The following is a 26,579-nucleotide window of genomic DNA, read 5'->3' as shown; positions in this document are numbered from 1 at the left end:
ATGGTGAAACCCCATCTCTTCTAAAAATACAAAAAAAATTAGGTGGGTGTGGTGGCGCACACCTGTAATCCCAGCTACTCGGGAGGCTGAGGCAGGAGAATTGCTTGAACCCAGGAGGCAGAGGTTGAGGTTGTGGTGAGCCGAGATCACGCCACTGCACTCCAGCCTGGGTGACAGAATGAGACTCCATCTCAAAAAAAAAAAAAAAATAAGCAATTTAAATTAAATAAATTAAAAATTCAGCTCCTCATTCACACCAGTCACACATTTTGAGTACTCAGTAGCCACATGTGGCTAGTGACTATCATATTACACTATGAGGCTTTAGAGGAAATAACTATTACAAATTTGATGCAGAATCTTCTTGCTTTTTCTTTATGTATCTACACATGAAAATAAAGACGTAATTAGACAAATATATATATTACACATATTTGGATTTTTGCTTCAGAAAAAATGTGATCATACTATTTATTTTACTCAAAAGGCTAATTTTTTTCACTTAGTTATATTTTGGATCTTTTTCCTTTTCAATATATATATATAGGGATCTGCATTCTTAGATTTACTTAACTACTTCCCTACTAATAGGCATATGAGTTGTTTTTGGTATTTTGCAGTTATAAACATCCATGTCTGCATACTTGTGCTAGGATTTCCATAGTTATTTCCCAAGAATAGACATTTATGGGCCAAAGGGTATGCCCATTACAAAATTTGAAATCTGGCTGGGCATGGTGGCTCATGCCTGTAATGCCAGCACTTTGGGAGGCTGAGGCAGGAGGATTGCTCTGGGCCAGGAGTTTGAAACCAGCCTGGAAAACACGGCAAGTTCCCTGTCTCTACAAAAGATTAAAAAAAAATTAGGGCTGGGCACGGTGGCTCATGCCTGTAATCCCAGCACTTTGGGAGGCCAAGGCAGGCGGATCATGAGGTCAGGAGATCGAGACCACGGTGAAACCCCATCAATACTAAAAATACAAAAATTTAGCCGGGCACAGTGGCAGGTGCCTGTAGTCCCAGGTACTCGGTAGGCTGAGGCAGGAGAATGGTGTGAACCTGGGAAGCAGAGCTTGCAGTGAGCCGAGATCAGCCACTGCACTCCAGCCTGGGTGACAGAGTGAGACTCTGTCTCAAAAAAAAAAAAAAAAAAAAAACTAGCCAGGCCTGGTGGCATATGCTTGTAGTGCCAGCTACTTGGGAGGCTGAGGTGGGAGGATCACTTGAGCCTCAGAGATAGAGGCTGCAGTGAACCATGATCATGCCACTGCACACTAGCCTGGGTGGCAGGGCAAGATGCTGTCCCCCCCAAAAAAATTAAACGAAATAATAAAAAATTTGAAAGCTAATATCAAATTACCCTCCCAATAGTTATGCCAATTTTTCTCATACACTCTTTGCTGGCATTCCTCTCCGGCACCTGCAGATGCTTTAAATGCCAGAATCATAAAATATTGGAAAGAAAAAGCCTTAGAGATTATCTGTTCCAGTTCTTTCATTTTATGGGCCAGGAAAATCAAGCCTAAGCTGAGGGAAGGGGCTATATGCACAGCATATTCATGGCACAGCTGGGACTGAAGCAGATCTCCAGGTTCTTGCCCTCTGTCCAGTGTGTGCAGGAGAGCCTGGCAGAGTCTTTCCAACACATCCTCTGGAAGGTCATTCCTCCTCCTGCTCAGTGGTCTGCCCCTCGCTCCCCCTTTATTATCATCAGCCCAGCACTGGCCAGATCAGCAGGTCTTTCAATGGAGCATCACACTGCGCCTCAGTGAGCAAGGAGCTCAGAGCCAAGAGAATCTTTCCTTGACATTTGTATCCAAAATTGAATTCAGTCTGCTCAAATGCTCGCTACACTTTCAAAATGTGCCTTTCCTACCTTCCTTCTGCTGAGCACAACCAAGTCATAGACCCAGGCAGAAGGGAGGAAAAAAAAAGGTATTCTGTTGCATGCAGAAATAAATTTCACTAGTCAGCCATTTAAGATGGGCTGACTCGGACACATTTTGCCTTTAATAGGAGTCACTTTGGGAGGACAGAGGCAGAAGGTCCTTCTAGGCCACTCTCAAGCTGGTGGGGCTGGTGAGATCTTGGAGGATTCTCACATGCCAGTAAGATAGGCTTCTCCTGAGGATTCCCTAGAGCTTTACAGAGTCCGTGAATACAGGTGCCTCTCACAGAATCCTTACAGGGTAGGCTGAGTAGGGAGGTTATGGGGCTTTCCTTGTCAAATGCTTATTGGTGGTTAGAAACCATCTCTCTTGACTCCATCTCCAGATGCTTTCCTTTTCCACATTAGTCCCTGGACCCATGCTATTTCCTGCAGAGCCATAATGAGCCTGGGTCCTCTATCGCTCGGTCTGCTTCCTGCACCCCCAGCCCAATCTCATTACAGGCATTAAAAAAACCACACAAACCAAAACAAACCAGCCCATTTGCTTTTGCTACACATTTATTTATTTATTTGAAAATTTGGCTGGGCATGGTGGCTCACACCTGTAATCCCAGCACTTTGGGAGGCCAAGGCAGGCGGATCATGAGGTCAGGAGATTGAGACTATCCTGGCTAACACGGTGAAACCCCATCTCTACTAAAAATACAAAAACAAAAAAATTAGCCGGGTGTAGTGGCGGGCCCATGTAGTCCCAGCTATTCAGGAGGCTGAGGCGGGAGTATGGTGTGAACCTGGGAGGCGGAGCTTGCAGTGAGCCAAGATCACGCCACTGCACTCCAGCCTGGGTGACAGAGCAAGACTCCATCTCAAAAAAAAAAAAAAAAATCAATTCCGACAGTTTAATTATATTTATATTTCTTCCTCTCTTGTCTAACTTCCCCTCATTCTGGCCAATTACAAGGCCTTTATCTTTTTTCTTTTTTGAGATGGAGTCTCACCCTGTCACCCAGGTTGGAGTGCAGTGGTGCGATCTTGGCTCTCTGCAACCTCCGCCTCCAGGGTTCAAGCGTCTCTCCTGCCTCAGCCTTCCAAGTAGCTGGCATTACAGGCATGCGCCACCACGCCCAACTAATTTTTGTATTTTTAGTAGAGACGGGGCTTCACCATGTTGACCAGGCTGGTCTTGAACTCCTGACCTCGTAATCTGCCAGCCTCGGCCTCCCAAAGTGCTGGGATTACAGGCGTGAGCCTCTGCACCTGGCCTACAAGGCCTTTTTCACATACTGGCACCAAGAGGCCAAAATTCCGTTAGAAGAAAAAAGTCTCCTGTTTTTGCTACATGTTGCCAGATGTTTCATGCTCCTATACCTGGGACTCCTTTTGGTCCTCATTTTAATATTTCTGATGTTTCTTTATTCTGGAAAGAAAGAAAAGAGGTATCACAATAGGAAAAGATGATAGGAGAGGGGAGGGAAGCAGAGAAGCAAACTAAGGATTTCTTTTATACTGTATTAACACATCATTATAAAATATCATTAAAAGGCTTCTGACTATGTCACCCTAGGTACATCCTCAACCCCTAGATGCAATTCATCAGCAGGCCTTGTTGATTTTTACTTATGCGGTATTTCTCAAGTCTATCCACCTCTTTCCATTTCAGTCATCATCACCCTAATTCAGTCTTCCCCTAGTTGGCTCCTGTCAACTTGCCCCTCTAGTGCATTTTCCACATTGTAGACCAAATGATCAAAAAAGGACTTTTGGCCAGCCATGGTGGCTCATGCCTGTAATCCCAACACTTCGGGAGGCCGAGGCAGGCGGATCACTTGAGGTCAGGAGTTTGAGACCAGCCTGGCCAACATGGTGAAACCCCGTCTCTACTAAAAAAATTACAAAAATTAGCCAGGCTTGCGGTGTGTGGCTGTAATCCCAGCTTCTAGGGAGGCTGAGGCAGGAGAATTGCTTGAACCTGGGAGGCAGAGGTTGCAGTGAGCTGAGATCACGCCACTGCACTCCAGCCTGGGTGACAGAGCGAGACTCCGTCTCAAAAAAGAAAAAAAAAGAAAAAAGAAAAAAGGACTTTTAAGCCTCATGCCAAATGCTGTAGGAAATAATAATAACAATCATCATCACCATTGTTAAAATTTCTGAGTGCTTACTGTGTACCAGGTGCCATTTTTAATGCTCTCATGTCTAATTCATTTAATCCTTACAATAATGCTAGATGATCAATATTATTATTCTGATTTTAGAGATGAACACGTGGAAGCACAGAGATGTATGTAATTTGCCCAAGGACACACAGCAGTGTAAGCAGCTACTTTAGGAACTCAGATCTGTAAGAGTTATTAAAAAAAATGTTCCAGGCATTAATGTGTGTGTATTTGGCAATGCTGGAGGGGTCACAATCAAGTATAAATTGTTGTACAGGCCCCGCAGGAGAGCAGGTGAGTCATTTTGTCACCAATCGATTGGAAGTAGGTGTCTGGACTGCTGGGCTGTGAACAATTGTGAGACTACATCTGGGCCCAGTGGGAAACTGTGAGGGATTAAGAGGGAGGTCTGTCTTGGGCCAGCCTCCTGGCTCGAGTGGGGTGGATACTTGTTTTCTATTGCTGGTGCAACCAATTACCATACATTTCATGGCTTAAAAGAACACAAATTTATTATTTTACAGTTGTGGAGATCCAGAGTCCCAAATGGGTCTCATTAGGCTAAAATCGAGGTGTTGGCAGCTTTGCATCTCCTTCTCAAGGCTTTCCAGGAGAATCTGTAGTAGTGCGCCTGTAGTTTCAGCTATTCAGGAGGCTGAGGTAGGAGGATCACCTGAGCCTGAGGAGGTCATGGCTACAGTGAACTGTGATCGCTGCCACTGCACTGCAGCCTGGATGACAGAGTGAGACCCGTCTCAAAAAACAAAAAATAAATAAAAGAACTTTTGTGAGTGCATTGGGCTCACTCAGGTAACCCAGGATAATCTCCCCATCTCAAAGCCCATGCCATATTCATATCTGCAAAGTCCCTTTCACCATGTAAAGTAACATATTCGCGGGTTCCTGGGATTATGGCATGGATCTCTTGGCAGGGGGCATTATTCTGCCTACCCCAGGGGCTAATGGCATCATGTGATGAGAGTGCTCCCCTGGAACCAGGCTCTGTCTAGCCCTGAGAGCACACGGACCCCAGTCTTATTTACTTTGGTATGTTTCATGTCTGCCATAATAGATGTGCAAATCTTTGATGAATGAATAAATGAAAGAACTGATAACAAATACACAGAGTGATAGGGTATCTGTCTTAGGAACGTAAGAAAAAACCGCCACTTTTAACATGGAAATTTGGAGGGGATCTTTTTCTAAATTTTAATGGGGATCCCATAGTTTGGGCAGTGCCAAAGTTAATAGTGGTAACTGAGATTAATATATGTATTGTTTTTTGAGACACAGTCTCGCTCTGTCACCCAGGCTGGAGTACAGTGGCATGATTTCGGCTCACTGCAACTTCTGCCTCCCGAGTTCAAGTGATTCTCCCGCCTCAGCCTCCCAAGTAGCTGGGATTACAAGCACATGCCACCACACTCATCTGATTTTTATATTTTTAGTAGAGACAAGGTTTCACCATGTTAGCCAGGCTGGTCTCAAACTCCTGACCTCAGGTGATCCACCCGCCTTGGCCTCCCAAAGTGTTGGGATTACAGGTGTGAGCCACCACGGCCGGCCACTGAGATTAGTATTAAGCAGATCTCAGCGCTGAATGAACTTCTGCATTTTTTGCCAGTCTTTTCTTGACATCATTGTCTTTTAACTGGCCCAGGGGGCAGAAGTCTGTTAAAGGAGAAGTATATAGAATCCATTCACTTATATGGAAGATGCTGGGACGAAGGGGTGAGAAATGAGCCCAGGAACAGGCTCAGTCTCCCATAGGGAGAACACATCTCCTTTCTTGGCTGCAGCAGCAGTTCTGCCTGGAGCCACACCACTCAGCCCCAGATAAAGTCAGGTCTTCCAGGAGCTCCCACTCTGGTCAGGATTTAGTTCAAGATATCTTAACATGATTTACAAGGCCCCACCTACTCTGACTCTTTTCTGCCTCTCCAGCCTTGCCCCACACGCCACCCAATCCTGTCACTCTGGCCTCCCCATGAACACCCACGGCCACCCACCTTCCTGCCTCAGGGCCTTTGACATGCAATTCCCCAATTCTGGAATACTCCTGCTACTTTATTTTGCCTGGTTAATACCTACTTATCCTTGAGGCTTGGCCTAAAATCTCATCCTGAAAGATATTTTCTTTAATCTTCAAATCTAAATCAGCACCCACTTCCTCACCCAGGTTATATAAAAAAAAAAATGGTATGGTATCAGGAACTTGGGATGGGGACTCAGACTGACTTTGTATTCTAACTCCACCACTCCAGAGCTGCGTGACCTTGGGTGATACATGTAAACCTCCATGTCTCTATTCATGTCTAAAATGGAGCTATTGGTAGTACCTACTGCAGAGAATTGTTATGAGAATTAAATGAGATCATGCATGTAGAAACTTTGGCAGAGTGCTACTATCAGTAGAAGCTACTATTTTCCTTTACAGCATTGATCAAAATTGCAATTATAAAATTATTATCATTATTTTTTGGAAGACAGAGTTTAGTTCTTGTCGCCCAGGCTAGAGTGCAATGGTGCAATCCTGGCTCACTGCAAACTCTGCCTCCCGGGTTCAAGTGATTCCCCTGCCTCAGCCTCCCGAGTATCTGGGATTACAGGTGCCCGTCCACCACGCTCAGCTAATTTTTGTATTTTTAGTAGAGACAGGGTTTCACCATGTTGGCCAGGCTGGTCTCAAACTCTATTATTTGTTTCATATCTGTTTTCCTACATATAGTAAACCCTACAGGGGCAACACAATATCCCTCCTGTCCTCCATTGTATCTGCAGTGCCCAGCATGCCACCTGCAATATTGTAGGCCTTCAGTAGATATATCTTGAATGGATGGATGGATGGATGGATGGATGGATGGATTACCTGGGTTGAGTTCCATGAAAAAGTGCCCCTTTGTCAGGAAATAATCAATATTATTAAAGAACATTATGTGGAAATTTTCAATCGTCAGTCTGGACTTATTAAAATTAGAAGTTGTCAGGCACAATACTCACTGTCTCTCCATTTCTGGGGCCTGTTCTCATGCAGGGCCTTGTGATGCTCATTGCCAGGCAGATTTATGAAACATCTCGACAGGGCTTACATTCCATATGTTACAATTTACACATTCCTGCTGAGGTCAAGGTGGGGAATGGCATGCGTGCTAATAGCTGTGTTTCTCACATGAACTTTCACATAAACCCTTTTTCCAGCTCATTTTAGTGATATAATATACTTTTGTAAACGATTTTTTTCAAGGTCATAAATGAACGCTTCCTAATTTCCATTTTTCAGAGGATTACAAGTCTAGAAAGGGCAACTGGAGGTTTCTGAGCCTAGCTGCTTCCACTGGCAGCAACTTTATCTGAACCGTCCTCAAAGATCTCCAGGGAGACAAAGGACCACATTTCTCAATGGAGTCCCACAACGTCCCTCCAGTTTTCCCCTCCTCAGGTCTCAAGGATACTACTCCAGGGGATGATGGCAGTGTGTGGTGTCGATCCTGCATATAAGAATGTTTGAAGTCCGAGAAAAAGTGCTCTTTTGTAGAAAACATCCAACAAAATTGCTCAAACAAAATGGCCAGTGTTGAGCCAGTTCGCATGTGGCTGGATGCCTCCCCCTGAGTTTTTGCTTCTTGGCAAGGAGGCCGACCAACATCAGTCTTCCTGTGCTTTAATTTTCCTTCTGACCTGAATTGTCAGTCACACTCTATCTTTGTTCCATTTGTCAAAATGCCATTGTTCTCTCTCTTCCCTGTGGTAGTTTCTTCTCTATTGTTAAAAAAAAAAAGTCAGAGCTGCTGTGGGTCGATGGAAGCAGGTCTTACTGGCTGTGCAGTTTGGCACGTGGCCCCAAGCCAGTCTCATCTTCAGTGTTCACAGACCGTGGAAATCATCTCCTGCCATATAACTCGGGCTCCATCATGAGCCTAAAACTCACAAAAGAGTTTCTGTCACCAATTGTTCTGTGTCAGGGCCATGACATACTGAATGGTGGGTTCCTATAACAGGGCACATTCTCTTTCCAGATAAAATATATTTACATAAAATAGTAAGCTCAGTACAAAAAAAATACATTATTTTTCTAAGAGAAATGTCTGGTAGGTCTGCTTTTTGAAGGGTCTGTTGCTCTAGAGACACGTGTTGTTTAGTGTTGACCTGGGCCTGTGTTCAGGAACCCCAGTAGCAATTTCATGTGATGACAGGATAACTAAGACATTTTAGATGCTGAGGAGAAAATAATTCTGGATGCTCCCACAATCATGAATTGTTTTCTCCCCATTGTTAACATTATTTGCCCAAAGAATGCCTTTTACAACAGAATTTACAATTCAAGACCTATATTAGGTTGTGTTCTAAATGCTGCTTAAAGAGAAAAGTGATTTTTTCAAATATCAATAAGTGATACGTTTTTCTGTCCTTGTAAATTACCATTCTAAAATTTGTTGGGATCATTTACTAAATAGATTTATTCTTTTTTTTGTTTTGAGATGGAATCTTGCTCTGTCCCCCAGGTTGGAGTGCAGTGGCACGATCTCGGCTCACTGCAACCTCCACTCCTGGGTTCACACCATTCTCCTGCCTCAGCCTCTGGATTAGCTGGGACTACGCACCTGCCACCACACCCGGCTGATTTTTTTTTGTATTTTCAGTAGAGACGGGGTTTCACCGTGTCTCGATCTCCTGACCTTATGATCCACCCTCCTCGGCCTCCCAAAGTGCTGGGATTACAGGCATGAGCCACCGCGCCCAGCCCGATTCTTTTTTTTTAAACAAGGATTATTGGGAACTGAATTGGGCAGTTTAGTGAACCCATGAAGAGAATATCCTATCAACTTCTAGAGAGAAAACCCTAGTTGTACATATTGGTTCAAGACTCATAATGGATTTGGATTTCTCAAAAGCAATGCTAGAAGTTAACAGCAAAGAACAATGTCTCCAAAGTCTGAGAAAAAATTATGTTCAATGTATAATCATATAAACAGCTAAATATCAGTCAAGAAAAGGCTAGAATAAAGTTATTTTCAAATATACAAAGCTCCCTCAAGGGCCTCCCCACCTTTTTTCATCCCACTCTGGCCCCAGAGGCTGACGTGTATGGATTGCACCATCGGGCTTCTTAGCCTTCCACTTCCAGTAGCGTTTGGCCAATGGGAAATAGTGACAGAGCCTGGAGGGAGAAAGAAGAATGAGGTCAGGCTCTGTGTTCCTTGGCTCCTTCCCTGCTAAGTCAGCTCAAGTTAACAATGTTCCTTTCAGAAGTTCAGCCTTTCTGTACCGTAGGCTTCTCCACTCTCTCCAGTTCCTCTCTGTCTGGGTTCTAGAACCACTCACTCCTCTTCCCTCCTCTCTCAGCCACAGGGATGGTAACAGACTCCCTGCAGTGTCTAGAGCCAGGGGACTTCACTACCCCTCACTCATTTCCCTTAACCCTGCCCACACCTTTTAAAATAGACCCTTCATTACAGCCTGGCCTCCATGGTGAAACCTTGTCTCTACTGAAAATATAAAAATTAGCTGGGCATGGTGGTGTATACCTGTAGTCACAGCCACTTGAGAGGCTGAGGCAGGAGAATCACTTGAACCTGGGAGGCGGAGGTTGTACCACTACACTCCAGCCTGGGCAACATAGTGAGACTCTCTCTCAAAAAACAACCAACCAACCAAACAAACAAAAAAACAGACTGTTCATTAAGTGTTCCTCGATTGCCCCATTTGAATGTGTTTCCACAGGAGCTTGACTAACAATGGTACCTGGATGACAGGGAATGGTTTTACTCAGTCCTCTAAGACGCTAGAGCAGTTAGCATCAAAGGCTTTAGAATCACTTCAACCTGAGCTCTGCCATTTTCTTTTCTTTTCTTTTCTTTTTTTTTTTTTTTTGAGACACAGTCTCCCTCTGTCACCAGGCTGGAGTGGCGTGATCACGCAGTGGCGTGATCTTGGCTCACTGCAACCTCTGCCTCCTGGGTTCAAGCGATTCTCGTGCCTCAGCCTCCCAAGTAGCTGGGACCACAGGCATGCGCCACCACACCCAGCTAATTTTTGTATTTTTAGCAGAGACAGGGTTTCACCATGTTGGCCAGGATGGTTTCGATCTCCTGACCTCGTGATCCGCCCACCTCAGCCTCCCAAAGTGCTGGAATTACAGGCGTGAGCCAACGCGGCCGGCCAGCTCTGCCATATTTTAGCTGTGGGACTTTGGACAAATGACAAGCTCTCCACGTCTCATATATTCAATGAAGATTTAAAAGTGACTTTTCACCCAGGATTTTTGTGAGGATCAAATGAGATAATCTAAGAAAACATGTAACACGGTGCCAGTCACTTAAAAAGCATCTATAAAGGGTCGTTACTCTTTATCATTAGTAACTTCCTGCCGCTGCTAGCCAATGGCTGCCTGCTGCACAAACAGGCCAAATGGCCCAAAGGAAGCCCCAAAGTTTCATTTATGTATCCTGAAAGGGTGCAGAAGAAAGCTGGACCAAGTGACAAGCTGCCTGCCTCTAACCCTCGAAGGGTGTCCTGGGTAAGGAACACTGCTGTTGCTTTTTTGGGTTAAACCCTGACAGGCAGGGTGGGGCATCTTCTGGCCCTGGCTTCAAGTTCCACCCACAGTCCTTAGTTCATGACCCTGGTGCTTGTTGCCAGAGATAAAGGAGTAACTGGAACCAAGGCACATTTCATAGAAGAGATGTGATCCCAAATACCTGACTGAGTATCTCTGGCTCTCTTCCTGAGGTTCTCAAACAGGCAGAACTGTTTCAGCTTTGAGCATCTGACTCCCTGCCTGGGGTATCTAACCCCTCTGTCTAACTATACGAGAAGCCCAGAAAATCAACCTTGATGGAGTTCTGTCTTTTAACGAATGTGGAAGGTGCCAATTTTCCCCTGTGAAGCCATTTTCCTTTTTTCTTAGCAATATTCTGTTAGCTTAATCCTTCAGGATTCCTTGTGAGATGGAAGGTGTAGAAGGGAGAGGTGAGAGTGAGAAGGCCCAGCTCAGTAAATGAGATATCACTGTGAAAGGGAAGGGCAGAGACAGGATTCATGTTAAGAGCACAGAGAGAAAGGATGAAGACTTCAGCAACACACAGTCTGGCTCCCTTAATTCAGTGCTACTTATGAGCCTCTGGGTTTTATTAATGCGGAAACCTCTGCATTTTCTTCTCCCTGTGACCATCAGAAACAGCTTAGCTCTGAGATCTTCTGAGAGCTACCATGTTAAAAATCCAAGTGAATGGTTCAGTAGAGCTGGCTCTTGCTTTATTGAGATACAATATTGGTGTGCTCATGCATTCCACCCCTGCTCTACTAAACCCTGGCAGATGAAAATTCAAGTTTGGAGAGGGGGAGAGGGAAGAATGATACTGAAGAAAAAAAACTTCACCTTGGGATTCCTGGAAATAGCAAATTCTTTTTGTAACTCCCCCACAGTGCACTGGCACTGCTGTTCACTGTATTTAACAAAAAAAAAAAATTAATTTCAGGGACACAGCACAGCTACCGTATGAAGGAGGTAAGCTAGAATTTGATACAAACAATAAGTAGGTGGATCTGACTTTAGTTAACATTGTACGGTGAAAACAGATTCTGTGGCAATGCAATTTAATTGTACTTAGGGCTGTGGACATTGGCATAATTGGACCGCACAGTAGGTTTGACTCTGAGCATAAGCCATCCCAAGTGCTGGTGCCAAAGGGGTTCCCCGTTTCCTTATCTCCACCTCACTTCCTTCTGGAATTCTGATGCTCGGTCCTCCAAACGGAAGACTGCTACTCTGGCTACCCCGCATTCTACATGGCTAACCATGGGAAACCCAAACCTCCCAGCCTCTGTTTTCTCATCTAGGAAATGGCAAACAAACTCTAACTGAAATGGTTGCTGTGAGAAGTGGAGGGAATGTACGAGAGAGCCTAGGCACTCGATTCTTGATGGCTAATAATAATAACTATTATTACGGAAGAAAAAAGAGAAGGAGGAGGAGGGAAGGAGGAGGAAAAGGGGAGGACAGCGAATTTTAATTACATAAAAAAGTCACCCCCCCAGAGCCATCTGGGCAGCATAAGAGTGATTTTATAGGATGCTTTAAAAAAAATCTTAACGTTCTCTTAAATGAGCATGCTAATTTTCTTGATAGGATTATTTCTTTGTTTCTAAACTTTTGCATTTTATTCTGTTTTAATTATATAATATTTCAGAGTTGACATCAAAAAGGGCATCATCTGTTTTTATCTTTTTCAGCCTCATCTACATCCTTGGTTACTGTTGCTCAGTAATCCTGGGGTCACCCAAAGTACTTTTGTTCTAGAGACCTTTTAAAGGAAGCCAAGGCAGTGGTTTAGAAAATTTGTTTGTAGACAAAAAGACATCGAAACAACCAAGGGAGTGATTCCTCTTTGGGATAATTATTTTTAATGCCTTACTGGACACATTTGAAATGCTTTTCAGGTCTTTTGGGAGTCAAATTAGGAGATTTTTTTGTTGTTGTTAGGAGAGATTTTTGTTTGATTTTTACATCTTGGAACTTGATCTTTGGTAAATGTCTGCATGTTTGCACATTACATAATACTCACTCCCCCTCGCACTCACCCCCACCCCAATGCTCTAAGGATTTCATCAGCATCAAATAGGCAAATAATACAGGGTAAAGAAGATTAACAATTTCTGTGTGGCCCTCTGGTTATCTTCCTTTGACTGTGCTACTAAATGCAGGTCTAAAAGACATGTGCTTTGCGGTTTGGTCAACCAGTCCCTTCAATTCAGTTCCAAACCAGAAGAGCTCCCCCTTCGGGTATCCTTGTTGCTAAACCTGTATGAGGCATCATTGACTTAATTCAGACAAAAAGATGCTGTCAGTACTTTAGGTATCTTTATATGTCAGGTCCTCCTCTGTGAAGTATGAGGATGCTTTCCTAATTTTCACAATATAGTGATGAGCTAATTATTTACATACTCACCAGGGGCCTCTCTGTAAAACTTAATGAAATTGTCTTCAGTATCCCTGTATAACATAGAGAGGTACTGGAGAGAATTCTTGGATCTGGTAAAAGTGAGGGTTGTTACAAGGATACTTCTTTTTTTTTTGAGACAGAGTTTCGTTCTTGTTGCTCAGGCTGGAGTTCAGTGGCCTGATCTCAGCTCACTGCAACCTCCACCTTCCAGTTTCAAGCGATTCTCCTGCCTCAGCCTCACAAGTAGCTGGGATTACAGGCGCCCACCACCACGCCCGGCTAATTTTTGTATTTTTAGTAGAGACAGGTTTCACCATGTTGGCAAGGCTGGTCTCGAACTCCTGACCTCGTGATCTGCCCACCTTGGCCTCCTAAAGTGCTGGGATTACAGGTGTGAGCCACTGCACCTGGCCACAAGGATACTTCTTACAAGTACTTGCACATCCTGCTTCAATGATGACCAAGTCCTGAAGCACAGCCAGACTGTAAGCAAGTTGAGAGCCAGGTTTGTGCATCCTGTTTTACTTACTGGGCCTGTAAAAGGTACTCGGTAAGTGCAAACCAATGAATGCTGTTCCAGAAAGACAGATTTTATTTCCTGGCCTTGGGTAAAGCTCTGCCACTAACTAAGTGCATGATCTTGGGCAGATCGTATCAATAATGTCTTATCTGAAAAATGAGGGGTAGGATTAGAAGCTTTGTAAAGTCCCTTGCAGTTGTAACCTGCTGCAACCTGCTGATTCAGCCTGGTGAGAAATCATCCTCCATATCCTGTGCCCACTGAGTGACAGCTGGAAAGGTGCCAGGCTGAGTTAGGACAAGAGAATGGTGTCAATTAGAGTCCTCTCGCCCCAAATAATTGCTTAAAATATGTACAACATTGCTTTAAAAATGAAGAAGGCCAGCTGATTCAAATATTTTCATCTTTTGACAGTAGCTCTGTTGATGGGATTCAGAAGGGAACTGCAGTCTCTATGGTGCTCTCTAGGCATGTGACCCACCTCAGATGAGCAGGTGACTTTTTTTTTTCTTTTTAAAATCTGGTTTCCAAACACAGAGATGGTCAAGGAGCCGCTTTGGCATTATACACCCATCTCAGATCCATTTGTGATAGACATATGAGAACTGTGTTCAGGGACTCCAGTTGCCTTTAAGGAAATAGGGCAAACTTGACCTAACAGATGTTCATGTTTATCCAATAATAATAATGATACACTGTGTTTATTTGGAACATGACTAAATTGTTCATGCAACTTCAAGGTCCCAGTGCAAAATTCTGGATTCAGACGCTGTGGATTTATCACACCCACTGGGGGATATTGGCCTCACAAACCTCTGAATGGATTATCCTCTTCCATTAGAGTGGGCTCATCCTTTCCAAAAGATAACATCTTGCTTCTCTGGCCTGAATTTCCCTTGACTTCTTTCAAAACACAATTTGTGAAAACAATGTGTGAGAACACATGACAATGGGAAGTGCTCAGCGGGAATACCGTAATAAATATGTCAGGTATATAAACTAGCTGATGATATTTATTTGGTTCTTAAGAAACTTTCTTAAGAAAGTATTGGGATACAATAAATTAAAATACTTTTTCAACATCTCAGATTTCTCCAGTAACGCATATATGCTGGCAGACCTTAGTGAATCACGTTAATTTATTTGTAAATCATCAAAGGAAAGCATAAAATATATGTCTCCAGGCAAGTGAATGGACTGGGAAACCAAATTGGGCAACAGCAGTATTTTCCTGCGCCAGAAGTAAACATGTCAACATGGTGACGAGGGTTTTGTCCCACTCCTGGCTGAACTTTGAAGGGTGAGATGGCTAATATCGAGGGACCCGGCTTTGTAGTTCTTTCTCACAAAGCATTCCATGAGTCAAGAGAAGGACAATCTGCAGCATGACACAGAGAACTAGGTCAGAATAATATTTCTTAATGGAGATTCCAATGATGTATTCATTACAGCAGTGGTTCAGAATTTTCTGTGCCTTGATAGGTTGTCTTTTTGAGTAGGCACCCATTTTTAAATTTAATGTGATATAAAACTGAGTTCCAAGGAATCCCTATTATGTAAGTGGTAAAAAACGATGTGGAGGAGAGGAAGCAAAATATGTGCATATCCACATATACACTATAAGCCAGTATTCCAAAGATGAACTCTGGGAACATAAAAGTTTATGCTGCCCTTGATTTGTGTGGCTTTAAAAAATACCAGCAATATTTAGTGATATTGGAGCATAACATCAAAACAGAAACTCTTTGCCCTAAATTTGCATGTGCTGTGCTATCTGGCTTTCTTTCTTATTGCTCTACATGGATTCTTCCTCCTTTCTGGTTAAATGAGTTTATCCACAATTCCCTTTGTGGACTGCATTTCCACATGATTGCCTCTTCTTGTATTTTTTTCCTGACATTTGCTGAGCTTGGGGAGAGACATCCTCCAGCTCCACTGGGTGGGATGAAGGAATCTAGCCCAAGCTCCCCTTCCCCATGAGGATTTTTTCTTTTGACTCCAGCTAAAAACTATGTCTCCATCCCTTCTTTTATTTATATATTTATTTAGAGACAGATCCTCACTCTGTTGCCCAGGCTGGAGTGCAGTGGCGCGATCTCAGCTCACTGCAAGCTCCGCCTGCTGGGTTCACGCCATTCTCCTGCCTCAGCCTCCCAAGCAGCTAGGACTACAGGCGCCCGCCACCACTCCCGGCTAATTTTTTGTATTTTTTAGTAGAGACGGGGTTTCACCGTGTTAATCAGGATGGTCTTGATCTCCTGACCTCGTGATCCGCCCGCCTGACCTCCCACAGTGCTGCGATTACAGGCGTGAGCCACCGCGCCTGGCCCTCCATCCCTTCTTCTAACAGTACCCTGGGGCACAGTTTCTCAGTCTCGGCACTATTGACATTTTAGGCTGGATAATTCTTTGTTCTGGGGGGTCTGTCCTGTGCATTATAGAATGTTTAACAGCATCCCTGGCCTCTACTCACTAGATACCAGGACTGTGCATCTAGTGATCCTGTCTTACTGTAAGTCGTGACAAAAAATATCTCTAGACATTGCCAGACGTCTGCTGGGTTGCAAATCATCTCAGTTGAGAACAACCACTGCCCTAGAGCTCTCACCAAATCGTTCGCAGATTCTGGAGAACAATGGTCAGGTCTTTCGCAGCGTTTGGATTCGGGTTCAAGTTAACTGATGATTAACGAATAAAAGATGCTTTTAAAAAATTACGGGGTCGGGCGTGGTGGCTCACGGCTGTAATCCCAGACTTTGGGAGGCCAAGGCGGGTGGATCACCTGAAGTCAGGAGTTTAAGACCAGCCTGACCAACATGGTGAAACCCTGTCTCTATTAAAAATACAAAAACTAGCCAGGCGGGGTGGTGGGTGCCTGTAATCCCCGCTACTTGGGAGGCTGAGGCAAGAGAATCGCTTGAACTCGGGTAGCGGAGGTTGTAGTGAGCCGAGATGGGGTCACTGCACTCCAACCTGGGTGACAGAGCAAGATTCTGCCTCAAAAAAAATAAAAAATAAAAATAAAAAAAAACCCATTAGGCACATTCTAAAAATTAACAAATCAGGTTGATTTGATCAGGTCAGATCCTCCAGAAAACTACAAAAAGGGACTATATTATTGCCTCTCTCCTCTTACAGTTTACAGAACCATAATTTTAATGCTGTGGACATTGGGTTGAAATAAACTACCAGAAAATGTCGTTGCATCTTTTGAAACATTATTTTTGAAGTCGCTAACCGTTACCTGATAACTCTTATAGAAAGGCTAGTATGGTAAGTTCCTCTTTGAGTTTAGTACTAGAAAAAATTCATCTCTTCTGAAAAACTAGGTTTCTTCCCTTTATTGCATCACGAAAGATAGGTAACTAGTGCTATTTTCCCCTTTCTTACTTGGCTGTCAGGAAGTTCAGAATTGCATTATGCTCAATTATAGTAACTATCTGCATCCTTTGATTCTAATATTAATTCAATTTTTTTCTTCTCATTAGCCCCATTTAGCCTATCTTTTACCCTTGTTCCAATGGCTTTCTTAAATCTATCATTTTTTTAATAAAATAAAATTTTAAGCAAGTGAAGTCCTTATTTACCATCAAAAGTAGAATACTTTGGAGTAAAAGGAGAGTAATTAATAATTAAGCTGGGACAACAGCTTAAGCTGAGACTGTCCTGGGCAAAATCAAAATGTGATGTCACTCTAGATACAAATAATAAATAAAACAGATAACATTTATGCCATTCCCAGGTTGGGGATAATTAAAGATAAACATGCGCCCTACATAAGGAATGAAAGCTAAGTTATGTGCTTCTTATTCATCTTGTGTCACATCTGTTGATTATAGTTTAATATTTATTATTTCTTGGGAAATTTTGTAATTAGCCTCTATTTGTAGAGGAAAAAATATTGGGCTTTCTAAAATGTATTTAATTTCTACCAAAGTAAGGGGGAGGGTCTTTTAGATCTGGAACAGTGATCACAATAGAAGTTTCATTTGTTTGTGATTTATGGAGACTTGGAATAAATGTACTATTGACCAGTGTCAGATTTCTAATGACTAGATCTTGTTTTTCCTAAGCAACTTTGCATAAACTTTTGTCATATTTTGAACAGCAAGCTGATACTGTGTTCCAGACCGTTTACAGAGCTATTAATAAATGCTATGTGGTAACTCCAGGAAGAGGATCAAACTACTTTTTCTCCCCATTGGCTGAAATCAATTTCCTGCTTATTTTGAAGAACATGGGATTACCAATGTCCTTGACATACGCTGGGTATTTTGCAAAGAAACCCATTAAAAATAAATGAGATTCAGAATTTTAACCTAAAGCGTTCATAGTCAAAAAGGAAATCCTTGTCAGTGCCTTGGTTGCAAAGTCTTTCATATGTGAAAGAGTGAGATTTCAGTGTAGTACAGGTGAGTTTAAAAGAAGATAGAAATTACTTTCTGTGTTTGTTCAGAATCATGCTGTAATTCAAGCTCTTGCAGGCTCACCTGTTTTAAGTCATAGCTAATATTGTCTGATTAGAAGAATTGTAGGTTTAATAACTACCAGTTATTGATTTCTTACTACATGCCAGGTGCCACGAAAGCAATTTACATATGGTGTTTTAATTTGTTCTCAAAACAACCCTGTGAGGTGATGGTATCATTAGCCCTGTTTTAAGGTTATGAAAATTAAAGCTCAGAGAAAATAAGGAAGCCACCCAAAGCCATACAGAAAATAACTAGCGAGGAGGCTTTAAACCCCAGTCATCTGATCCCAAAGCCTTGCTCTCTATACTATTATAAACTTCTACAGTAAGAAGCTCTCTATGTGAAAATTATAAGGTTCAACACTTGGCCCAACAAGATGGCCAGAGAACAGTAACAATAACCGTAGCAGTGATGCTTACATAGCACACATTCTATGCTATGCATTGTTTTGAAAGTTTATATATATGATCTCACTTACTTATCACAATAGCCCTGCATGAAAGGTACTATACTCACTTAAAAATGAAGAACCATGAGAGCAAGCAATGTGCCCCAGTGTTCTGAATAGACATATTCCTTTCCACATGTTCACATGTAACAATGTTATGATGGTCTTCTGCACTGTCTGACACTTCAGAGTTTTCAAATCACCTATGGATGCTTTATTTCATTTTATATAATCTCCATTTTACACATAAAGCTACTGAAAAACTGAGAGCTGAAGCTATTTCCCTAAGATCACAGTAACTGATAGAGATAGGATTTGAGTTCAGGTGTTTTTATACCTACCCCAGAATTCTTTATCCTGGACAAGGCTGCAAACCTGAAATGTGGCTCTAAGGAACAATGCAATTCTAAGATTTTCAATGCAATTCTAAGATTTTCAGGTTGTTAACCTATAGACTTCTGTACTAAAAGAAGGAACCTAAGCTTGATTTTGAGGCAAAAGCCACATATTTCCTGTTTTAGGGTCCTGGTGTAGGGCAAAATCATTTAAATTTCCTTCTAGATGGCAACAACCTTGTTTAAGGTCAGATTCAGCAAAGGTTTCTCTTCCTGCTCTTCACCCTGATCCAACAAGAACAAAGACTTCCACCTTTTCTGAATTCACACCAATATCAATACTAAGCCTATAACTTATCAATTAATTGGAAGCAAAGCATAGAATTTATGTCTATATAGATAATAGCCAACATGTATTGAGTGCTTCCTAAAGGCTAAGAAATTTACATGCCTTACCTTATGTAGTCCTCATAACTTGCTGTTATTTTTTATCTTGAAGAGAAGAAAACTGAATTTCTCAGGGGTTAAATAGCTTTCAGAGTCACTCAGCTAGTGGTGATGATTTTAAGCCAGCTATATAAACAGCTGCCCTGCCGCTTTCATAAAGTCCAGTTTTGTAGGCAGAGATTTATCCAGACCAACCATTCCAAATCCTTCAAACCCTTCCTGCATCTGGACTGTAAGGTGGAATACTTCCTAAACACACTAAAATGTGGTAGTGTGGGCAGAAAGCAAAAGGAAGTGAGGGCTATCTGTTGCTCCTCATTCCCATCTCACCTTTAGTCATTCTCTAGTCTTACAGATCTCCTTGTTCTTTTATAGCAATTACTACTATATGAAAATATCTCATTGTTTCCTTGTAATGTATCTGTCATACCTACTGGAATATAAACTGTGAGAGCGGGGTGAGCCTGTCATTACCCTGTGCTCCTACTTGCTGCTACAATGCCCAACAATCTTTGTTGCACGGTGAGTGAATGAATGAAAGAATGAATGGCACGGAAAGGATGAGGATATCCCTGCTTTAAAAAAAAGATGGGGAAGGTGAGCTATTCCATTTTTCTGGTGGACAACTTGATTTTTTAAAAAAAGTCTTGAAAACAATCATTTCCAAAAAGCAAAGAATGTCCCAATTTGCCAAGATTTACAGAGAGCCATGGTTATGAACTTCACGAGCAATTGCTGCTTAAACATTGTGTCTGATTTTTGTCTTGGTAAGCTTCTGCCAGGAATTCTGTCCATTCCTCTTCCTCACTCCCGGGCGCTTTCCTCGTCTTCCACCGCTAATGAATACACATCCCTCTGCTGACCAGCGGCTGCATATCCCAGTTGCCAGACGAAGGCCCAGGTAGCTCTTCTCTACTGGATAATCCGTTATCTGTGTGAAGAGCCAGTGCCTCCTCTGGGTGGATTTTTGTGAAGCTAAACTGATCTTTGGGGGACAAATGCATTCTACAGAAATCAATGCCTTTCTCCCTCTAGTCATCTTTTTTTTCTCTTATTCCTTTGCTCTCAAATATATCCTGCATACCGTTATTTAAAAACATATTATCTAAGAAGACTCCAAATGTAAACGGTTGAAATTTTTCCTTTCCACCATACTTTCTGAGCCACCACTATGTTAACAAACTGGTCTAAAGAATATCCCCTTCCTGCCCTGCTGCACCCTCCCCCCATATTCCTAACTCAACCTTGGATATTTTTACAACATATATTCAGTTTGAAAGATAATACTGATACCTTGTTTTATATGAACATTTATACACCAGGACCCTGGCAAGGGACTGACTTCATTGGGATACTTTATGGCTTAATACATCTGAATGATTTATATCTCGTTTTGTCTAAGCATTTATGCTAATAAATTTAACAGATTCTCCAGTACTGCTTGGTCCTTCGTTTTCTTCAGGGGGTCAAAGTGAGAGGAAAATAAAGCAGGGTGTTACTAAAGAAAGAAGGAAGAAATTGGCTAAACGAATTTAGAACACAAATAAAATTACTGCACAAATAAAATCTCTGCTTACGATTAAGCTGGAATGGCGGTCAAAAAAGAAAAGGGAAAAAAAATTCCTAGATGCAGGTAGATTTCTATAATTAAGCCATTTCTCAAAGGGGAAGTAAATGTGACAGAATATTTAGCAAGCAAATTTACTGAGGAATATTTTGTTCCTATATAATTAAATTCAACACTGAGGTAAAACTGACAACTATTAAACTGAGGGCAGTTGGGAGAGGGAAAGGGGATGAGATAAAATCCAGTCTATAAAACATTCCATTATCTTTTATAGGTTAAAAAACACAAAAGAAATACTTGGAAAGAATTGTCTAAGACGGAAAGATTTTAAGATTGTGTGACTTTTTTTTTTTTTTTTTTTTTTTTTTTTTTTTTACAGGTGCAGAATAATTTTTTTTCCCTCTCTCGTGGTTTTTCTTTTCCCCATTTTTTTCCCCTGTTGTTTGCAAAGTTGAATCTGGGGTCAGGAGTTCTAATTGTAACCTCAGACTGGAATTCCAGATGGTGCGCTCAGGACTGGAAGCAACTCTCAGTTCATCAATTTCATGGGCCTACGTATCTGCTCTGGCCACGGCCTGGCCTCCATCCCCACTGTGGCATTAATGCAGAACAAATTGAGACATATCCTCTATATAATTAGTTCCAGAATTTAAAAAGATTTACGGTATAATAATAGAGGCAGTGCCGCGGAATCCTTTCACTGAGGACTCTCGGGGAGCTCGGGGACCATCTCGCGGTGGCATCAGAACAGACGAGTAACCCCAGCGGCTCCAGGCACTGCGAACTGGGGGAGAGGGGGAAATTTTGCACCGCATTCGGCAGTACCTAACGGTTCCGGGCTCCCAGATAGGGTCAGCGAGGAGAGTTAGGACAGTAAGTGGGGACTGGTTAAAAAAAATCGACTTAATTTTGAAATGATCAGAAGAAGCTGGGAGTAGTTATCACAAAGCCCCTCCCTTGCCCCCCCCTTTTTTTAATTGAAGGAATGACGTTGAAATTTTCACCGCCAGCGCGGGGCTGGGAACCATCCTAAACACTTGCCCTGCAGCCCCGAGTGGGCAGATTCCGAAGAGTTGGAGTCGGCGGGGAGGGGAGGAACAGCTGTTGGGCTGTCTTGCGCGTGGGGCTCGGGGCGCGGGCCCCGGGGAGAGGCGCTAGTCGAAAGCTTGTTCCTCTCCCGCGACAGGCAGCAGCGAGGTCGAGCCACTCTTTATTACGGCCTGCGGGCCCCGCGCGCAGTGTGGCTGTCCCCGCCCTTGACCGACCGCAGCGCTTTGGGGTGTTTATTCAGTTGTCCGCGGCCGCTGGGTGACTCCCGGAGGGCGGCCCAGGCGTGCGCACTGGTCCCTGGGGTTGCGGCTGTAGCAGCCCAGCTCCGCGCTCTGTCAGATGCAGTGGACAGCGCCGGGGTGAAAGTAAGGGTTGAGAAATCCTCACTGCCCTGCTCCTACCCAGCCTCGATTTTTTCATATTGCAATAATTATGCACCTTCGAGGCCGGGATGCCTGCGCTTTGCCAGTGTATCAACGCCACATGGTTTTCCAGGGGCTGTCCTCGCCTCTGCATCCCATTAGCTCTGAAGAGGTAGAGGGGTGGTGGGTAAAACCTCCAACTGGACGTTGAGAGACCCGGGTTTCAGCTCGGCGTTGCCACTAACTTGTTTCCTGTCCTTAAACAGTAGTAGTAACAAAAACTGTAAAGTTGATTGAGTCAAAGGCCCACACTGCTCTCCTATCTAATCCTCAGAACAACTCTATGAGGTGGGCGCTAGTATCCCATTATCCCGTTTGACCAGTAAGGAAACTGAGGCTCAGAGAGACTGCGGAACTCGTCTAGGGTCACACAGCTGTTGGTTACCTGGCAGAGCTGAGGTTCCATTCTGGGGCCACCAACCCCTTGCTCTTTACCGCTGCGCTCCATAGACTGCCTCTCCTTCGGCTGTCTGGGCCTCAGTTTCCTTCTCTGTAAAACGAGAAGTTTAATCTGCAGCTTTCTTTGCCAATCGGTGGTTCAGACCAGGAACCTCTGCTACAGATCTCGGCGCTGACAGGGGTAAGAAGGTGGGTGAAAGAAGGGGGCGCCCAGTTTTCCACAGCCTGCTTTTCTCTGGGACCTCGCGAAGGGCGGGCCTCGCGAGCTAAAGGAGGTACAGGAGAGCGCCTATCGTCCGCGGCGGGTGAAGGTGCTACCTGCCTTCGTGCTAGGCTGTGAGTCCTGGTGCTTAGCTCAGGGCGCCAAGGCCAGTGTAGCTGGCATGTCCCCCTTGGAAAACCTCAGGTCTCCCGCAGAGAACGTTACCCACAACAAAGAAGAGGACAGAGAGGCATGGAGCGCCCTGCGACTGCAGGAGTACGTCAGTTCCCCAGCGCTGGCTTAGTGTCGCCTGGGCTTCCGGGCATGTGGATCCGTTGGGGTCGTACGGAGACTTCCTGTCGGGTCCCTGGGGTCCTCCGACTGCGGCTCCTCAGCTTAGCACTTTCTTCTTGGCCCCGCAGGCTGCAGGGAACTCCTCCCACCTCTTTAGTCGGAGAAGTCCAAGTCGGGCGAGGGGGCACCCCGGGGTTCGCACCGGTGCTCTTCCCCTCCCCGCCCCCACAAGGATTCTGAGAAAATAAATGGCAGAGGAGAGAGGAGTTCTACATTTGCTTGGCTCTCCTTTCCTCCTATCCACCCCTACATCCCTCACCCCGGGGCAAAAACTTATTTTTGAAAAATGTTGGCAGAGATTTACGTGTCTTTGCCTTACCTGGGTTTCACAAACACAACGACTCACATTCAAGCCAGCCTCCCTTCAGATAACCTCCTCTCCCCCCGCTAAAAGTGCCAAGGATGGTAAAAGAAGAAACAATCTCAATCTTTTCGTTTGGAAATGAAAGTCCCCGGCTTTTCATAAAGGGCTCCTCGCCCCTCACAGTTGAGTCCTAGTTAAGAAAAACGACTTCCAAGTAGAAATAATAGGCGGGGAGAAGGAAGGGAGATACAGGGATCTGGGGGGTTCTTAGGGCAACTGGCAGTGAATTTTGTCTCGAGAGTCCTTTCTCCACTCAAAAAACCAAACGCGCGAGCCCCGCGAAAGGTTTAGGGATAGATCGTGTGGGAGAGGACTGAGCAGAGAGCGTGGGGGCAGTGTCTTGTAGAATCTTTCTTTTCTTAATAATAATTTTAAAAGCTTCTGAGTGGAGACGACGCAAAGTCAAGCAGCAAAGGTGGCCTGGGAGGCAAGCGGAGGGCTCAAGTGCCGCATCTTTACCCTCAGGGTCTCCTGCGCCTACGGGATGCGCATTCCCAAGAAGTGCGCCCTTCGAGTAAGTCCTGGGCCCGCACACACTTCGGGTCCGCAGCCAGAATTTAATGGCGACAACGTTTATGCAATGCAAGCTAAAAACCAAAGCGTAAAAAATTACTATGTCATTTATTGAAACGCCATTCTTTGTCAAACTGCAACTACTTTGCTTCACATAAGTTTGGCTGGAAAGCTTGCAGCCCCAGCCCGGGCCAGCCAGGTACAGGAGGCCGGACTGCAACCGGTTGCTTCCCTCCCGTCGCGCCTGGCCGTCCCACGCTGCGCCGTCGCTGCTGCCTCCTGGCGCCCCTGGGATTTTATACGCACCTCTGAAACACGCTCCGCTCCGGCCCCCGGTTCTTCTCCTTGCCTAGGGGTTGTTTCCCAATAGATACTGACTCCTTTAGAAGATCCAAAAACCAAACCAAAACACCCCCTACCCGCCCCAAACACCTGCTCTGGGGCGCGGGGGCTGCCAAACAGAGACTAGACGAAGGGAGTCAGATTTAGCGAAGCTCTTCGAGCTCCCAAAGATTCGAACACTAACTCGCGCCCGTGGGCCGATGGAGGTTCTCCCTACTCCACTCCTTGGTCCCCTTAACTGGCTTCCGCCTCCTGGTCAATCACTGAGCAACCAGAATGGTATCCTCGACCAGGGCCACAGGCAGTGCTCGGCGGAGTGGCTCCAGGAGTTACCCGCTCCCTGCCGGGCTTCGTATCCAAACCCTCCCCTTCACCCCTCCTCCCCAAACTGGGCGCCAGGATGCTCCGGCCGGAATATACGCAGGCTTTGGGCGTTTGCCCAAGGGTTTTCTTCCCTCCTAAACTAGCCGCTGTTTTCCCGGCTTAACCGTAGAAGAATTAGATATTCCTCACTGGAAAGGGAAACTAAGTGCTGCTGACTCCAATTTTAGGTAGGCGGCAACCGCCTTCCGCCTGGCGCAAACCTCACCAAGTAAACAACTACTAGCCGATCGAAATACGCCCGGCTTATAACTGGTGCAACTCCCGGCCACCCAACTGAGGGACGTTCGCTTTCAGTCCCGACCTCTGGAACCCACAAAGGGCCACCTCTTTCCCCAGTGACCCCAAGATCATGGCCACTCCCCTACCCGACAGTTCTAGAAGCAAGAGCCAGACTCAAGGGTGCAAAGCAAGGGTATACGCTTCTTTGAAGCTTGACTGAGTTCTTTCTGCGCTTTCCTGAAGTTCCCGCCCTCTTGGAGCCTACCTGCCCCTCCCTCCAAACCACTCTTTTAGATTAACAACCCCATCTCTACTCCCACCGCATTCGACCCTGCCCGGACTCACTGCTTACCTGAACGGACTCTCCAGTGAGACGAGGCTCCCACACTGGCGAAGGCCAAGAAGGGGAGGTGGGGGGAGGGTTGTGCCACACCGGCCAGCTGAGAGCGCGTGTTGGGTTGAAGAGGAGGGTGTCTCCGAGAGGGACGCTCCCTCGGACCCGCCCTCACCCCAGCTGCGAGGGCGCCCCCAAGGAGCAGCGCGCGCTGCCTGGCCGGGCTTGGGCTGCTGAGTGAATGGAGCGGCCGAGCCTCCTGGCTCCTCCTCTTCCCCGCGCCGCCGGCCCCTCTTATTTGAGCTTTGGGAAGCTGAGGGCAGCCAGGCAGCTGGGGTAAGGAGTTCAAGGCAGCGCCCACACCCGGGGGCTCTCCGCAACCCGACCGCCTGTCCGCTCCCCCACTTCCCGCCCTCCCTCCCACCTACTCATTCACCCACCCACCCACCCAGAGCCGGGACGGCAGCCCAGGCGCCCGGGCCCCGCCGTCTCCTCGCCGCGATCCTGGACTTCCTCTTGCTGCAGGACCCGGCTTCCACGTGTGTCCCGGAGCCGGCGTCTCAGCACACGCTCCGCTCCGGGCCTGGGTGCCTACAGCAGCCAGAGCAGCAGGGAGTCCGGGACCCGGGCGGCATCTGGGCCAAGTTAGGCGCCGCCGAGGCCAGCGCTGAACGTCTCCAGGGCCGGAGGAGCCGCGGGGCGTCCGGGTCTGAGCCGCAGCAAATGGGCTCCGACGTGCGGGACCTGAACGCGCTGCTGCCCGCCGTCCCCTCCCTGGGTGGCGGCGGCGGCTGTGCCCTGCCTGTGAGCGGCGCGGCGCAGTGGGCGCCGGTGCTGGACTTTGCGCCCCCGGGCGCTTCGGCTTACGGGTCGTTGGGCGGCCCCGCGCCGCCACCGGCTCCGCCGCCACCCCCGCCGCCGCCGCCTCACTCCTTCATCAAACAGGAGCCGAGCTGGGGCGGCGCGGAGCCGCACGAGGAGCAGTGCCTGAGCGCCTTCACTGTCCACTTTTCCGGCCAGTTCACTGGCACAGCCGGAGCCTGTCGCTACGGGCCCTTCGGTCCTCCTCCGCCCAGCCAGGCGTCATCCGGCCAGGCCAGGATGTTTCCTAACGCGCCCTACCTGCCCAGCTGCCTCGAGAGCCAGCCCGCTATTCGCAATCAGGGTAAGTAGGCCGGGGAGCGCCCCCTACGCGCGGGGCAGTGGCGCCAGGGACTCTCC

General features: G+C 45.6%; 1 protein-coding gene and 1 long non-coding RNA gene across 21 annotated transcripts in view, besides 29 other annotated features; one reads left to right on the top strand and one right to left on the bottom strand.

The window, feature by feature from the left end:
- Nucleotides 1-2,453: 2,453 nt before the first annotated feature.
- Nucleotides 2,454-25,705, bottom strand: WT1-AS (WT1 antisense RNA). Of its 5 annotated transcripts, NR_120548.1 has the most exons (5): nucleotides 25,377-25,705; nucleotides 9,092-9,202; nucleotides 7,045-7,961; nucleotides 3,260-3,308; nucleotides 2,454-2,584 (listed from the first exon to the last, which is right to left on the bottom strand). It is a non-coding gene; the product is annotated as a WT1 antisense RNA (long non-coding RNA). The 5 variants fall into 5 exon arrangements; NR_120547.1 differs by lacking the exons at nucleotides 2,454-2,584; nucleotides 3,260-3,308; nucleotides 7,045-7,961; nucleotides 9,092-9,202 and adding exons at nucleotides 21,766-23,378; nucleotides 24,026-24,153; NR_120546.1 differs by lacking the exons at nucleotides 2,454-2,584; nucleotides 3,260-3,308; nucleotides 7,045-7,961; nucleotides 9,092-9,202; nucleotides 25,377-25,705 and adding exons at nucleotides 21,766-23,378; nucleotides 24,386-25,184.
- Nucleotides 19,926-20,220: a silencer, noted in NCBI's record as "tiled region #1868; HepG2 Repressive non-DNase unmatched - State 21:Repr". NCBI's record gives its function as "represses a minimal TATA promoter and a strong SV40 promoter by Sharpr-MPRA in HepG2 cells {active_cell/tissue: HepG2}" and the evidence as "EXISTENCE:reporter gene assay evidence [ECO:0000049][PMID:27701403]".
- Nucleotides 21,497-22,352: an enhancer, noted in NCBI's record as "H3K27ac-H3K4me1 hESC enhancer chr11:32460417-32461272 (GRCh37/hg19 assembly coordinates)". NCBI's record gives its function as "activates a minimal SCP1, AML or CMV promoter by ChIP-STARR-seq in naive H9 embryonic stem cells {active_cell/tissue: H9 hESC(naive)}" and the evidence as "EXISTENCE:reporter gene assay evidence [ECO:0000049][PMID:30033119]".
- Nucleotides 22,353-23,210: an enhancer, noted in NCBI's record as "H3K27ac-H3K4me1 hESC enhancer chr11:32459559-32460416 (GRCh37/hg19 assembly coordinates)". NCBI's record gives its function as "activates a minimal SCP1, AML or CMV promoter by ChIP-STARR-seq in naive H9 embryonic stem cells {active_cell/tissue: H9 hESC(naive)}" and the evidence as "EXISTENCE:reporter gene assay evidence [ECO:0000049][PMID:30033119]".
- Nucleotides 23,800-23,947: an enhancer, noted in NCBI's record as "148 nt fragment". NCBI's record gives the evidence for it as "EXISTENCE:reporter gene assay evidence [ECO:0000049][PMID:7629096]".
- Nucleotides 23,800-26,579: part of a biological region, named in NCBI's record as "WT1/WT1-AS bi-directional promoter region", that runs on past the window's edge. NCBI's record gives its function as "regulatory_interactions: LOC106707172 | WT1 | WT1-AS".
- Nucleotides 24,035-24,435: a DNaseI hypersensitive site, noted in NCBI's record as "hypersensitive site VII; the nucleotide coordinates are approximate for this feature". NCBI's record gives the evidence for it as "EXISTENCE:in vivo cleavage assay evidence [ECO:0001075][PMID:9407061]".
- Nucleotides 24,249-24,585: a promoter, noted in NCBI's record as "XhoI/HindIII fragment for -200 to +130 WT1-AS promoter". NCBI's record gives the evidence for it as "EXISTENCE:reporter gene assay evidence [ECO:0000049][PMID:8414514]".
- Nucleotides 24,375-24,380: a TATA box. NCBI's record gives the evidence for it as "COORDINATES:motif similarity evidence [ECO:0000028][PMID:8414514]".
- Nucleotides 24,685-25,883: a promoter, noted in NCBI's record as "-996 to +199 fragment for WT1 promoter". NCBI's record gives the evidence for it as "EXISTENCE:reporter gene assay evidence [ECO:0000049][PMID:14988020]".
- Nucleotides 24,779-25,579: a DNaseI hypersensitive site, noted in NCBI's record as "hypersensitive site VIII; the nucleotide coordinates are approximate for this feature". NCBI's record gives the evidence for it as "EXISTENCE:in vivo cleavage assay evidence [ECO:0001075][PMID:9407061]".
- Nucleotides 24,812-24,841: a protein binding site, noted in NCBI's record as "Pea3-2 probe; contains P3-2 and P3-Py sites". NCBI's record gives its function as "positive regulation of WT1 promoter" and the evidence as "EXISTENCE:protein binding evidence [ECO:0000024][PMID:14988020]".
- Nucleotides 25,044-25,063: a transcriptional cis regulatory region, noted in NCBI's record as "aligns to WT1-AS transcript". NCBI's record gives its function as "mediates downregulation by WT1-AS transcript" and the evidence as "EXISTENCE:reporter gene assay evidence [ECO:0000049][PMID:26462627]".
- Nucleotides 25,156-25,282: a transcriptional cis regulatory region, noted in NCBI's record as "-172 to -299". NCBI's record gives its function as "mediates positive regulation of transcription by Pax2" and the evidence as "EXISTENCE:reporter gene assay evidence [ECO:0000049][PMID:9178767]".
- Nucleotides 25,223-25,248: a protein binding site, noted in NCBI's record as "distal footprint; -230 to -205; CLBS3 (consensus-like binding site 3)". NCBI's record gives its function as "positively regulates promoter activity" and the evidence as "EXISTENCE:protein binding evidence [ECO:0000024][PMID:9178767]".
- Nucleotides 25,223-25,252: a protein binding site. NCBI's record gives its function as "positively regulates promoter activity" and the evidence as "EXISTENCE:protein binding evidence [ECO:0000024][PMID:9388203]".
- Nucleotides 25,233-25,883: a promoter, noted in NCBI's record as "PstI/HindIII fragment for -449 to +201 WT1 promoter; blocked by cytosine methylation (PMID:12761165)". NCBI's record gives the evidence for it as "EXISTENCE:reporter gene assay evidence [ECO:0000049][PMID:8414514, PMID:8132626, PMID:8045305]".
- Nucleotides 25,266-25,286: a protein binding site, noted in NCBI's record as "D site". NCBI's record gives the evidence for it as "EXISTENCE:protein binding evidence [ECO:0000024][PMID:8861958]".
- Nucleotides 25,266-25,286: a protein binding site, noted in NCBI's record as "D site". NCBI's record gives the evidence for it as "EXISTENCE:protein binding evidence [ECO:0000024][PMID:9336463]".
- Nucleotides 25,267-25,304: a transcriptional cis regulatory region, noted in NCBI's record as "38 nt human/mouse conserved region". NCBI's record gives its function as "mediates positive regulation of transcription by Pax8" and the evidence as "EXISTENCE:reporter gene assay evidence [ECO:0000049][PMID:8861958]".
- Nucleotides 25,288-25,304: a protein binding site, noted in NCBI's record as "P site". NCBI's record gives the evidence for it as "EXISTENCE:protein binding evidence [ECO:0000024][PMID:8861958]".
- Nucleotides 25,288-25,304: a protein binding site, noted in NCBI's record as "P site". NCBI's record gives the evidence for it as "EXISTENCE:protein binding evidence [ECO:0000024][PMID:9336463]".
- Nucleotides 25,428-25,448: a sequence secondary structure, noted in NCBI's record as "G-quadruplex; WT21; detected by circular dichroism and electrophoretic mobility shift assay; disrupting this structure with TMPyP4 results in lowered promoter activity". NCBI's record gives the evidence for it as "EXISTENCE:gel electrophoresis evidence [ECO:0000337][PMID:26815508]".
- Nucleotides 25,489-25,591: a promoter, noted in NCBI's record as "104 nt core WT1 promoter". NCBI's record gives the evidence for it as "EXISTENCE:reporter gene assay evidence [ECO:0000049][PMID:8132626]".
- Nucleotides 25,522-25,536: a protein binding site, noted in NCBI's record as "WT1-290". NCBI's record gives its function as "negatively regulates promoter activity" and the evidence as "EXISTENCE:protein binding evidence [ECO:0000024][PMID:8621487]".
- Nucleotides 25,611-25,643: an enhancer, noted in NCBI's record as "33 nt fragment for -81 to -48". NCBI's record gives the evidence for it as "EXISTENCE:reporter gene assay evidence [ECO:0000049][PMID:9006935]".
- Nucleotides 25,611-25,643: a protein binding site, noted in NCBI's record as "33 nt fragment for -81 to -48". NCBI's record gives its function as "promotes transcription" and the evidence as "EXISTENCE:protein binding evidence [ECO:0000024][PMID:9006935]".
- WT1 (WT1 transcription factor) overlaps nucleotides 25,684-26,579 on the top strand; it is a 47,765-nt gene continuing 46,869 nt past the window's right edge. For 12 of the 16 annotated variants that reach the window (NR_176266.1, NR_160306.1, NM_001407050.1 and 9 more), the window contains exon 1: nucleotides 25,684-26,523. Coding sequence is in view for 14 of the 16 variants with exons in the window: in NM_001407050.1 (NP_001393979.1) it covers nucleotides 25,863-26,523 (661 nt within the window). In the remaining 2 variants the exon portion in view is untranslated. The remainder of the gene's footprint in view (nucleotides 26,524-26,579) is intronic. The other 4 variants (NM_001429034.1, NM_001429033.1, NM_001429032.1 and 1 more) reach the window with 1 other exon arrangement.
- Nucleotides 25,751-26,551: a DNaseI hypersensitive site, noted in NCBI's record as "hypersensitive site IX; the nucleotide coordinates are approximate for this feature". NCBI's record gives the evidence for it as "EXISTENCE:in vivo cleavage assay evidence [ECO:0001075][PMID:9407061]".
- Nucleotides 25,753-25,812: a protein binding site, noted in NCBI's record as "P2 site". NCBI's record gives its function as "negatively regulates promoter activity" and the evidence as "EXISTENCE:protein binding evidence [ECO:0000024][PMID:17634147]".
- Nucleotides 25,831-25,856: a protein binding site, noted in NCBI's record as "proximal footprint; +377 to +402". NCBI's record gives the evidence for it as "EXISTENCE:protein binding evidence [ECO:0000024][PMID:9178767]".

This window comes from Homo sapiens, chromosome 11 (assembly GCF_000001405.40).
Source record: "Homo sapiens chromosome 11, GRCh38.p14 Primary Assembly".
Classification (NCBI taxonomy): domain Eukaryota; kingdom Metazoa; phylum Chordata; class Mammalia; order Primates; family Hominidae; genus Homo; species Homo sapiens.
Note: the sequence above shows the minus strand (reverse complement) of the source record. Positions and strands in the feature narration are given on the sequence as shown.